At 38.3% G+C, this 13,474-nt stretch overlaps 1 protein-coding gene and 1 long non-coding RNA gene across 26 annotated transcripts in view; one reads left to right on the top strand and one right to left on the bottom strand.

Annotated features, from left to right (window-relative positions):
• Positions 1-13,474, bottom strand: part of GPHN (gephyrin) — a 1,227,209-nt gene that overhangs the window by 549,092 nt on the left and 664,643 nt on the right. For 22 of the 23 annotated variants that reach the window (XM_011536340.4, XM_017020913.3, XM_011536343.4 and 19 more), the window contains 2 exons: positions 6,590-6,686; positions 4,461-5,460 (listed from right to left, as the gene is read on the bottom strand). The exons of the other annotated variant lie outside the window; for it this stretch is intronic. In XM_011536340.4, coding sequence (XP_011534642.1) covers positions 5,327-5,460; positions 6,590-6,686 — 231 coding nt within the window. In that variant the 3' untranslated portion in view covers positions 4,461-5,326. Of the gene's footprint in view, positions 1-4,460; positions 5,461-6,589; positions 6,687-13,474 lie in introns of those variants that run through there. 23 annotated transcript variants of the gene reach the window in all.
• LOC105370538 (uncharacterized) overlaps positions 1-13,474 on the top strand; it is a 116,677-nt gene that overhangs the window by 3,101 nt on the left and 100,102 nt on the right. The gene's annotated exons all lie outside the window — the stretch shown is intronic.

Raw genomic sequence — 13,474 nt, 5'->3', positions numbered from 1 at the left:
GCATTTAAATTGTTTTCCTTTCTCATAATCTCTCTCCTTCACTTAGATATCTGAGACTCTCATTCATCATTGTATTCTCGGTGCCTAACATGGAGCCTGGCATACTGTAGGAGTTTAAGAAATGCTTGTTAAATAAAATGAATTATTTCAAAAGACTGCAGGAGAAATACTGGTAGCTGGCCATACGAAATGGACAGGATTGAGCAAGTCTTTAACTTTTTGGTTCTAGGCCAAGTTATTGATGAATTCTGTAACAACATAACACAGAGAGTCAAGCATAATGCTTCTTATAAACATGTCAGAATGCAATGCATTATTTAATGTAGACCCATCATCATTGGAATACAAGACATACAGTTTATTTACTTTGAATTCTGTACTTACATAACCCCTTACCCCACTTTCTATAATTGGGAATGATAATTACTTACATTGTTAGGGTTTCATGAAGATCAAGAATTGCTAACAGGTTAGATCTACAAAATTTTGTTGATTAGCAAATAATTTTAAATATGAAAGCCATCCAAAAGAATCCACCTGCTGTAACATGCAACATCACCAAACATTTACTTGATAAACATCACCTGCTTATGTTATTTTTTTCATTCTGATATGATTTGAAACAACCAAACATAGAACCAAAAAATCTGGTTAAAAGGAACTGCTTAACTTTTTTACACAGCTATAAATGAAAACTTGAAAACATCTTCTATAGCCTTTTATGTAAGTATCAACTACTGACAAAAAAGACTTGTAACATGCTTCTTATATAATTTGTCAAATAAATGCAAATAGATTAGATGAAATTGATGTCCACCGTGCCAAGTAGAAATATTTTGTTGAACTTTAACATTTAAAGGACATTTTCCTTGTTTTCACTTAAAGTGTGTTCACATCTTCTCCCTTTTCTAACTCAGAAGGAAAAATGCCCCTTTTCTTTCCCAGCCACATTGGGCCACCAGGGTCCTTAAATCCAGCCCTTCTTTCCTCTTCTTTCTCCTTTTAGGATACTACTCTTGCATTGTTAACATGCCCACCACTGTTGTTTCTTTTTCAAAACCCACGAACAAATCTTCCCTCTACTTTGTTATCAGTTCATGCTACTATTTTGTGTCTTTCTTTTTTCACACACAAATTCTGAAGAATTCATGTTCACAGTTTCTATTTTGTAATCTGGCTTTTGCTCTTAACCCACTACTAAAATTGCACTCTTAAGAGTTCACAAATAATTGCCTTATCAATAAGGCTTTTTGAGCCTTCATCCTTCTTGGTATTTCTTTTGCATTTACAGTTGATCCTTCTTGAGACTCTCCTCCTTGATTTGTGGGACCCTGCACTCCCTTCTCTTCTCTTCTACAAACTGTTTTTCCCCTCATGCCATTCATGGCTTTTTCCTCCAACACCCCAAGGCCTGTCCTCTTCTCTTGGCAAGACTTTTCTTGATAATCTTTTCCATCCACCCTTGCATTTCAGATGCCACCTTTATGTGAATGGTTCCCAAAGTTGTATCCAGTCAGTAACTCTTCTGTGAACCCCTAACCTGTACTTTCAAATGCCAATGGGACATGTCTATCTTAGCACTCCTGGCATCTCAAACACATGCCCAAACTCAACTCCTCCATAAAACTCATTTTTTTCCTTCTTTTTATTAACGTTTAACATTTTCTCAGTCAGCCAAGAGGGGAGACTTTGAATCATCTCTCCCTTCTATAACTTTCTTTCCAAAACTTGAAATCAGACATAAAATTCTTTCCATTCTTTTCTCTCCAGAGACGTATCCATCTGTTCGGACGTTCCCATCACCATCACCATCACCTCTACCCCCTCACCTGCACAATTGCTATAACTTAACTGGTGTCTCTCACTTGTTTCTTTCCATTCTAGTTTATCTGCCTCAAGGCTGCCAAAGCGTTTTCCCTAAAAGGATATCTCTGATCATGATACGTCCCTGATCAAGAATCTCTAATGGTTTTATTGTCTCTAGAATAAATCTAGACTCTTAATTTGGTATTTAAGAACTTTAATACCAAATTAACTTTAATAACTTTAATAACTTTTGGGCCTTAAATCAGTACTTTTTCAGTCTTACAAACATCTTATACCTATTTTGTTTCTGTAACTTAAAGAAGATAGACTGTAGGCTGAGTGTGGTGGCTCATGCCTGTAACTCCAGCACTGTGGGAGGCTGAGATGGGCGGATCACTTGAGCCCAGGTGTTCAAGACCAGCCTGTCTCTGCAAAATATAAAAAAATTAGCCAGGTGTGATGGGTAGTCCCAGCTACTCAGGAGGCTGAGATGGAAGGATCACTTGAGCCCAGGGAGGTCAAGGCTGCAGTGAGTTGAGATCATGCCACTGCACTCCAGCCTGGGCGACAGAGTGAAACCCTATTAAAAAAAAAAAGAAAAGAAAAACAGAATAGATGTGGGGCACGGTGGCTCACGCCTGTAATCCCAGCGGATCACCTGAGGTCAGGAGTTTGAGACCAGCCTGGTCAAAATGGTGAAACCCCATCTACACTAAAAATAGAAAAATTAGCTGGGCCTGGCGGTGCATGCCTGTAATCCTAGCTACTTGGGAGGCTGAGGCAGGAGAATTGCTTGAACCCGGGAGGTGGAGATTGTAGTGAGCTGAGATCGCGCCACTGCACTCCAGCCTGGGTGACAAGAGCAAGACTCCACCTCAAAAAATAAAAATAAAAATAAAAATAATAAAAGAATATAGACTGTAGAGTCAGATTGCTAAACTTGAATCCTTGCTCTCTCTCCTACTATCTATGTGACCATGGACAAGTTTCTTAATCTCTGTGCCTCAGTATCCTCATCTATAATACAGGAAAAACAATGCTTATAGGGTTGTGAAAATTGAACATATGTAAAGTGTTTAGGACAATGCCTGGCCTACAGTAAGTTCTACATAATGTGTTTTATTGAGCAAATATTTACTGATGCTTGCATATATGCACATATGCCAGACTCTTCTAGGAATTTGGGGATAACTGGAGTGAACAAAATAAACAAAAATCTCTACCTTTGTGGAGCTTAATACATGACAAGCACTGCTCTCAGCACATTTCATATGTTTAATTTCCACGACACCCCTATAATTGTTGTTCTTCTTATATTACAGGTATAGAAATTATCCTATAATAAAATAATTATCATTAATTACCTGTCATTCTCTGTTTTTGGAATACTCTTTTTCCTGTGCTATCATCTTCAAAATTCTACCTTCCTTCAAGACCCAATAGCATCAGCTGGGCATGGTGTCTCACAACTGTAATTCCAGCACTTTCGGAGTCTGATGCAGGAGGATCACTTGAGGCCAGGAGTTCGAGGCTGTAGTGCACTAGGACCATGCTACTGCACTCTATCCTGAGCAGTAGAGCAAGACTGTGCCTCTACAAAAAAAAAAAAAAAAAAAGACCCACTAACATGCCATCTTACTCCTTGAAATCTCATCTGAATTCTTCCAACCCTTAAAATCTGTATTATGGCATTTATCACATTCTATACACTCTACTATATATTATCAAATATATTAAATATCGTGGTTATTTGCTTGCATTTTGTTATCTCCCTAATGAAGTGTAAGGTCAGGTGCTCTGCCCTATTCATGTTTGTAAATAGTAGCATGATATACTTTGTACCCAAGCACATAATAGATGCTTAACAAATATTTCTTGAATGAATGTACATAAAAGGATTATTTGCATACTCTTTCATTTGACCTCTATTAACTAACCTTATCTTCTTCAACTGTAAATATGAATGAAAATATCACATATCAGTATCAAATATTTGTTTACTATTTTGCCTTTATTTACCATCCCTTGACATTTTGTTTACTAGTAGGCCAATTTTTGTAGTTTGCTTTCCTGAGCACATTTTACAGTATATTTAACATCTTCCTGTTACCACCATTTGAAAAGTGCCCCTAAGTTTTTATTAAAGGATCCATTGTGGATACAGTATATTTTACCTATTGTGTTTTCTATGGTCAGCACAGATATTTTTTGCCATTTCTCACTTCCTTTCTAACACGGTTAAAAATTTCGAGGCGCTCATCTGTAATTTTTTGTTTCATTGCTTATTTTTTTCTCCATTTCAAAGAACTGTAGATGTTTGAAATTGGATTTTATGGCGTCTAAAATAAGAATTATTTTTTTTCTAAGTCATTAGTACCCTTCCTCTAAATTTGCTTGCTATTCTCCAGCTATGACTGGAAAGACGAGACCAACTGCAGGTTCTCCTTCCTTCTCATCTGTATTTTCACACACTACAGATCATAATGCTATGATCACATTTTTCCCCACATATTGTAGTAAGATACAGAGTTACAATATACCATATTTTAAATATTCTTGGTAGGCCATCTTAACCATTTCTTTTATTCAGGCAGAACCCTATCAGAATGGCATGACAATCTTCTCTCTTTAAATAACGAGGCCAACACATTACATTTTTAAATAATGATCAAGGAATTTTTTTATTCATTAAGTTTCAGTATCATTACAGAAAATGTTATGGTACAGAATTGTTTAACATTATTTTGTCTTTGCTCTTGATTTCCACATGAATGCTGGTAACACTAATATCTGTACAAGATCAGTCTTTGATTTTATTTTTTTGTTCTGTACAATTTTAAATGTATTGGTTAAAAAGGCTGTCAGCACTTAAGGAAGCATTTTTTCTTCAGTTTGTTTCTTCAAATAAAAGGTGTCCAGTTACTGCCCAAGAGTACTGTGCCGTGAGGCTATTGGGGCGAGAAACCTCCCTGGATGCTCTGCAGGGGATGGTTCTTGAGGCAAGGCAGAGCCTCCACCCAGTCAGTCTTCTTTTGGCACTGTGCACATAAACACGAGATACATGAGAAAGAACAAGCAAAAGCTCTCTGTAAAGCAGTTATGAAGCATACTAAGAAGGGAAATCCAAGTGTTGCCTACGCTAGTATAAATAAGCAGACAGCCTTGATTTAAGAGCATAAGTAGTTGTATTTTAAAGATGAGAAAAACACAAGTTCTGCAGGCACCTACCGCTGTCTACTAAAAGCTATCGCTATCAGACCTAGCATTGAACACACAAAGCAATTTGCAAGAAAGGAAAAATTTGCCTTGATATAATCAGAACAGAATTTTCTGTTAAGATTTATTTTTAGGTGTTTTTTTCTTTAAAAGATATTTAAATTCATTTGAAATATAGTTCAAGATGTTGACTATACAGATCAACTTTTATCCAAATCGGGAAAACTAGCTGTGCCGTTGCATATTACAGGATACAGTCAATGATATGTGGACATGCATCAAAGCTTTCTCCTGCTGGTGACCATCATAGCCGTCCAATGACCATGACATCCACCACCTCGCCTTTGTGGAGCTCCACGTACTGTTCTGTCTTTGGAGGTAGCATCAACAATCCATTGGCACTGCGCATGCTCATCAGACGGCTGCTCATTTGATTACCTAGAAAGAAATACTCTTATTACAGCAGCATAAGCATCATGGCGTATACAGTTGGGCCCTTGTAGACCTTTTCAAAATGTAAACAGACAGAAATGCGGGTCTTCAAGAGGAGAAGGGATGATCAAACTTTCCAGTACCTTTTTCAGGTGGCCATGCTATTATATCCTACCACCTTCTCATTCAAACTTTAAAAATAAACATTAGAAATTCTTGCTTGAAAGAGTAAAACCAGGATTTTATAGCATTATGCAAAATGCCATAGAATTTCTCAATTCAGGCTGAAATGTTATGCGTGTCTGAAAAGGGAGGCTTTAAAAAAAGTATTAAAATAATAATGACAATAATGGTAGCAGCTACCATTTCTTTACTGAGTGCCAAAGTACTAGGCACTTTACTTAAACACCTTATTTGATTCTCACAAGACTCAAAAAATTTTTAGGTAACTTGCCTAGGGTCCTGCTAAGTAGGTTGGTGGCCAGTTTGAATGCAGTTCTCTCTGATGGCAAAGCCCATGAACTTAGTCGCTGTTAGTTGACGTTTTCACTTGGTAGGATCTTTGTTTAAAGAGTACTACAACTTTTCTGGAGTCACATCAAAAATTAGGCAAAATATGAGTAGGGAAGTTGGGAATAACAGTTTAAAGTCTAGTGAAGGTTACTGTAGAACTCTGCATTATCAATATTGATTTCTCTGCCCTTCAAATTTACCAATAACTAGCGTATGGTAGAGGCTACAGAGAATCAAATTATAAATTGGGCTTTCATCTCACATTTCAAGATGGTATAGCTAGAATCTCCTCCTTTTCCTACAAAGTTATACTCAGAACTTATTGGTTGAACAAACATATCAAATCTTCTGTAATTCCAGATTTATTACAGGACATTAGTCAATGATATGTGGACATTCTAAATGTTTATCTAGAAAATATGGCTCAATAAAATAAGTAAACTTCTAATAGTTATTTTTTAACTTTTGCTATACTGTTTAGGAATAACTTAACTCATCTAACTTTTCAAAAAGAAAAATGTATAATAATTACAAAATCAGTCATAACCAAGGAAGATTATATATAAGTTTGTGTTTTAACAGGATAGGTGTCTAGGAATATCTGTAGATGTGAATGACTAACCTGTACTCTGTGCCCAAGGTAGTGGTTCTTGGTGATGCCAAGTTAGTATACACCGATGGTATTCTGGACGAGGATCAAGTTTTACATCACATGATAACTACAGAATAAAGTAGAAAAGAAAACAAACTTGGTCACCTGATCATCTCACAAAAATACAAGATAGTAGGGGTTGTGCAAAGAATACAGTGGACATGGAGACTAACCTTGGTATTCTGTCGTTGCTGTCACTACCACCTTATGTTCTTTTTCTTTTTAAATAAAATTTAATTAAAAATGTATTTTTTCTTTTGACACAAGGTCTCACTCTGTTACCCAGGCTGGAGTGCAGTGGCATGATCATAGCTCACTGCAGCCTTGACCTCCTGGGCTCCAGTGATCCTCCTGCCTTGGCCTCCTGAGTAGCTGGGACCACATGCATGTGCCACCATACCTGAATAATTTTTATTTTTATTTTTAGAGATGGCATCTTGCTATGTTGCTCAGGCTGGTCTTGAACTCCTGGGCTCAAGCGATCCTGCCACCTGGGCCTCCCAGAGTGCTGGAATCATAGGCATGAGCCACCATGCCTGGCCACCTTATATTCTTAATACAGGAAGTCTAGGGGTTGGGTTGCTCTGGTGAAAAGAGAAAAGAAGGCTAAGAAGCTGGAGTTCAGCTTTTGTCTGTCTGGGAAAGGCTTTATTTCTCCCTCATTCCTGAAGGATAGCTTTGCTGCATATAGTATTTCTGGTTGGCATTTTTTTTTTCTTTCAGCACTTTACATACATCATTCCCTTCCCTTCTGGCCTTAAGGTTTCTGCAGATAAATCTACTGCTAGTCTAATGTGGACTTCCTTGTATGTGACTTGATGCTTTTCTTTTGCTGTTATTATAATTCTTTGTCTTTAACTTTTGACAAATTGGGAAGGATCTTTTGGGTTGAATACATTTGGAGACCTTTGAACTTCCTGGATCTGGATGTCTATATCTCTCAACAGATTTGGGAAGTTTTTCAGCTAGTATTTCATTAAATAAATTTCCTATCCTCTTTCCCTTCTCTTCTTCTTCTGGACTCTGATGATAAAAATATTTGTTGATTCAAATTCAGGAAATACAGAGAACACCACAAGGATATTCCTCCAGAAGAGCAACCCCAAGGCACATAATCGTCAGATTCACCAAGGTTGAAATGGAGGAAAAAATGTTAAAGGCAGCCAGAGAGAAAGGTCGGATTACCCACAAAGGGAAGCCCATCAAAATAACAGTGGATCTCTCAGCAGAAACCCTACAAGCCAGGAGACAGTGGGGGCCAATAATCAACATTCTTAAAGAAAAGAATTTTCAACCCAGAATTTCATATCCAGCCAAACTAAGCTTCATAAATGAAGGAGAAATAAAATCCTTTACAGACAAGCAAATGCTGGGAGCCTTGTCATCACCAGGCCTGCCTTACAAGAACTCCTGAAGGAAGCACTAAACATGGAAAGGAATAATTGGTACCTGCCACTGCAAAAATATGCCAAATTGTAAAGATCATTGATGCTATGAGGAAACTGCATCAACTAATGGGCAAAATAACCAGCTAGCATCATAATGACAGGATCAAATTCACACATAACAATATTAACCTTAAATATAAATGGGCTAAATGCCCCAATTAAAAGATACAGACTGGCAAATTGGACAGTCAAGACCCATCGGTGTGCTGTATTCAGGAGACCCATCTCACATGCAAAGACACAAATAGGCTCAAAATAAACATTTGGAGGAAGATCTAACAAGCAAATGGAAAGCAAAAAACAGCAGGGGTTGCAATCCTAGTCTCTGATAACCAACAAGGATCAAAAGAGACAAAGAAGGCCATTACTTAATGGTAAAGGGATCAATTCAACAAGAAGAGCTAACTATCCTAAATATATATGCACCCAATACAGGAGCCCCCAGATTCATAAAGCAAGCTCTTAGAGACCTACAAAGAGACTTAGACTCCCACACAATAATAATGGGAGACTTTAACACCCCACTGTCAATATTAGACAGATCAACAAGACAGAAAAGTAACAAGGATATCCAGGACTTGAACTCAGCTTTGGACCAAGCAGACCTAATAGACATCTACAGAACTCTCCACCCCAAATCAACAGAATGTACATTCTTCTCAGCAACACATCGCACTGATTCTAAAATTGACCACATAATTGGAAGTAAAACACTCCTCAGCAAATGCAAAAGAACAGAAATCACAACAAACTGTCTCTCAGATCACAGTGCAATCAAATTAGAACTCAGGATTAAGAAACTTACTCAAAACCACACAACTACATGGAAACTGAACAACCTGCTCCTGAATGACTACTGGGTAAATAATGAAATGAAGGCAGAAATAAAGATGTTCTTTGAAACCAATGAGAACAAAGACACGACATACCAGAATCTTTGGGACACGTTTAAAGCAATGTGTAGAGGGAAATTTATAGCACTAAATGCCCACAAGAAAAAGCAGGAAAGATCTAAAATCGACATCCTAACATCACAGTTTAAAGAACTAGAGGAGTAAGAGGAAATAAATTCAAAAGCTAGAAGAAGGCAAGAAATAACTAAGATCAGAGCAGAACTGATGGAGATAGAGACACAAAAAACCCTTCAAAAAAATCAGTGAATCCAGGAGCTGGTTTTTTGAAAAGGTCAACAAAATAGATAGACTCTTAGCAAGACTAACAAAGAAGAAAAGAGAGAAGAATCAAACAGATGCAATAAAAAATGATAAAGGGGATATCACCACTGATCCCACAGAAATACAAACTACCATCAGAGAATACTATAAATACCTCTATGCAAATAAACTAGAAAATGTAGAAGAAATGGATAAATTCCTGGACACATACACCCTCCCAAGACTAAACCAGGAAGAAGTCGAATCTCTGAATAGACCAGTAACAGACTTTGAAATTGGGGCAATAATTAATAGCCTACCAACCAAAAAAAGTCCAGGACCAGAAGGACTCACAGCCGAATTCTATGAGAAGTACAAAGAGGAGCTGGTACCATTCCTTCTGAAACTATTCCAAGGAACAGAAAAAGAGGTAATCCTCCCTAACTCATTTTATGAGGCCAGCATCATCCTGATACCAAAGCCTGGCAGAGACACAACAAAAAAAGAGAATTTTAGGCCAATATCCTGATGAACATTGATGCAAAAATCCTCAATAAAATACTGGCAAGCCGAATCCAGCAGCACATCTAAAAGCTTATCCACCACGATCAAGTGGGCTTCATCCCTGGGATGCAAGGCTGGTTCAACATATGCAAATCAATAGACGTAATCCATCACATAAACAGAACCAACGACAAAAACCACATGATTATCTCAATACATGCAGAAAAGGCCTTCGACAAAACTCAACAGCCCTTCATGCTAAAAACTCTCAATAAACTAGGTATTGATGGAATGTATCTCAAAATAATAGGAGCTATTTATGACAAACCCACAGCCAATATCATACTGAGTGGGCAAAAACTGGAAGCATTCCCTTTGAAAACCGGTGCAAGACAAGGATGCCCTCTCTCACCATTCCTATTCAACATAGTATTGGAAGTTCTGGCCAGGGCAATCAGGCAAGAGAAAGCAATAAAGGGTATTCAAATAGGAAAAGAGGAAGTCAAATTGTCTCTGTTTGAAGATGACATGATTGTATATTTAGAAAACCCCACTGTCTCAGCCCAAAACCTCCTTAAGCTGATAAGCAACTTCAGCAGTCTCAGGATACAAAATCAATGTGCAAAAATCACAAGCATTCGTATACACCAATAACACACAAACAGAGAGCCAAATCACGAGTGAACTCCCATTCACAATTGATACAAATAGAATAAAATACCTAGGAATCCAACTTACAAGGGATGTGAAGGACCTCTTCAAAGAGAACTATAAACCACTGCTCAACCAAATAAAAGAGAACACAAACAAATGGAAGAACATTCCATGCTCATGGATAGGAAGAATCAATATCATGAAAATGGCCATACTGCCCAAAGTAATTTATAGACTCAATGCTATCCCCATAAAGCTACCACTGACTTTCTTCACAAAATTGGAAAAAACTACTTTAAAGTTCATATGGAACCAAAAAAGAGCCCTCAGTGCCAAGACAATCCTAAGCAAAAACAACAAAGCTGGAGGCATCACGCTACCTGACTGCAAACTATACTACAATGCTATAGTAACCAAAACAGCATGATACTGGTACCAAAACAGATATATAGACCAATGGAACAAAACAGAGGCCTCAGAAATAATACCACACATCTACAACCATCTGATCTTTGACAAACCTGACAAAAACAAGCAACAGGGAAAGGATTCCCTATTTATTAAATGGTGCTGGGAAAACTGGCTAGCCATAAGTAGAAAGCTGAAACTGGATCCCTTCCTTACACCTTATACAAAAATTAATTCAAGATGGATTAAAGACTTACATGTTAGACCTAAAACCAGAAAAACCCTAGAAGAAAACCTAGACAATACCATTCAGGACATAGGCATGGGCAAGGACTTCATGACTAAAACACCAAAAGCAATGGCAACAAAAGTCAAAATTGACAAATGGGATCTAATTAAACTAAAGAGCTTCTACACAGCAAAAGAAACTACCATCAGAGTGAACAAGCAACCTACAGAATGGAAAAAATTTTTTACAATCTACCCATCTGACAAAGGGCTAATATCCAGAATCTACAAAGAACTTAAACAAATTTCCAAGAAAAAAACAACCCCATCAAAAAGTGGGCAAAGGATATGAACAGACACTTCTCAAAAGAAGGTATTTATTACAGCCAATAGACATATGAAAAAATGCTCACCATGACTGGTCATTAGAGAAGTGCAAATCAAAACCACAATGAGATATCACCTCATGGCAGTTAGAATGGTGATCATAAAAAGTCAGGAAACAACAGATGCTGGAGAGGATGTGGAGAAATAGGAACACTTTTACACTGTTGGTGGGAGTGTAAATTAGTTCAACCATTGTGGAAGACAGTGTGGAGATTCCTCAAGGATCTAGAACTAGAAATACCATTTGACCCAGCCATCCCATTACTGGGTATATACCCAAAGGATTATAGATTATTCTACTATAAAGACACATGCACATGTATGTTTATCGCGACACTATTCACAGCAGCAAAGACTTGGAACCAACCCAAATGTCCATCAATAATAGACTGGATAAAGAAAATGTGGCACATATACACCATGGAATACTATGCAGCCATAAAAATGGATGAGTTCATGTCCTTTGCATGGACATGGATTAAGCTGGAAACCATCATTCTCAGCAAACTAGCACAAGGACAGAAAACCAAACACCGTGTGTTCTCACTCATAAGTGGGAGTTGAACAATGAGAACACACGGACACAGGGAGGGGAACATCACACACTGGGGCCTGTCGGGGGGTTGTGGGGTGGGGGGCTGGGGGAGGAATAGCATTAGGAAAAATACCCAATGTAAATGACGAGTTGATGGGTGCAGGAAACCAACATGGCACATGTATACCTATGTAACAAACCTGCACGTTGTGCACATGTACCCCAGAAGTTAAAGTATAATAAAAAAATTTGTTGACTTAATGATGGCTCGTAAGTCTTACAGGCCTTCTTCATTCTTTTTCATTGTTATTTCTTTTTTTCCCCTTCAGAGTGGGTAATTTCAAATGACCTATCTTCAAGTTCAGAAAGTCTTCGGCCTGACAAAGTCTGTTATTGAAGCTCTCTATTGCATTTTTATTTCATTTATTGAATTCTTCAACTGTAGGATTTCTGTTTTTTTTTATGATTCCTAACTCTGCTGAATTTCTCATTTATATCATAAATTGTTTTCCTGATTCTGTTGACTTGTCTGTATATATTTTTTATTATATCTCATTGAATTTCCTTCAGATAATTACTTTGCATTTATTTTCCAGCAGGTCATTGATTTTCTTTTCATTTGGGTCTGTTACTAGAGACCCATTATGTTCCTTTGGCGGTGTTATATTTGCTTGCTTTTTTGTGTTTCTTGTAAGCCTGCATGAATCTGTGCACCTGGTAGAACTATTCTTTCTTCCAATCTTTCTGGTTTCCATAGAAAAAGTCTTTCATTTGCAGTTGGGTTTTAGTGTGCCAGCTGGGAAGGGTGTGGTGACTTTTTCAATAGGTATAGTGGTATAGTTTCCATGCAGCATCTTCAGGTGCTTTCAGGGCGAGCAGTAACTGTGGGTGCCTCAGTTACGTAGTCCACAGAAGTTTGTGGAAGTGGTGGTGGTGGTGGCATAGTTTGCTAATATTCAGTGTTAAGGGCTTTTAGTGTCTTCCTTATTCTTATTTTCTCCACAATGGGAAGATATAGCCTAGGGAGATCCCTCTTTGTGTCAAATCTGACATGGCCTTCAAGAAGGCCTACTGCAGCACCGGGTTCCTGGTACAGGTGCTTAGAGTGGATGTGGGGCCAGGGTCCTAGGCTAAGGGTCTTGTGAACCCATTGTGGCACCTGGGTCTTGGGGTGCTTGTTTTTTTCCTGTGGTAGTTTTGAGTGTAGGTTGTCCACAGAGCCAGGGTCTGTGACTTTGGGTACCCCTTAGCAGCTTGGGTTCAGGTGGCTGAGTTGTAGCTATGATTCTGCCCCTGGCGGGCAGGGCACAGCTCTGGCCTGACTCCAGAGAAGAAGGGTTGCCCCTGGACGTTTGGGGCTGGGGAGTAGGCTATTGTTGCTATCTAGGAACCTGAGTCAATAGGGCTTAGTGGCAACCTAGGTCCCAGGGGATGAGGCAGCATGTAGTAGTGACTGCAGACCCTGTGCTGGTGGGGCTTGGTAGAATCCCAGACTTTGTGCAGCCAGGTGCAGCAGCAATAAGTAATCCAGACTGGT

This window comes from Homo sapiens, chromosome 14 (genome assembly GCF_000001405.40).
Source record: "Homo sapiens chromosome 14, GRCh38.p14 Primary Assembly".
NCBI lineage: Eukaryota > Metazoa > Chordata > Mammalia > Primates > Hominidae > Homo > Homo sapiens.
The sequence above is the reverse complement of the archived record's forward strand: the minus strand, read 5'-3'. Positions and strand labels throughout refer to the sequence as shown.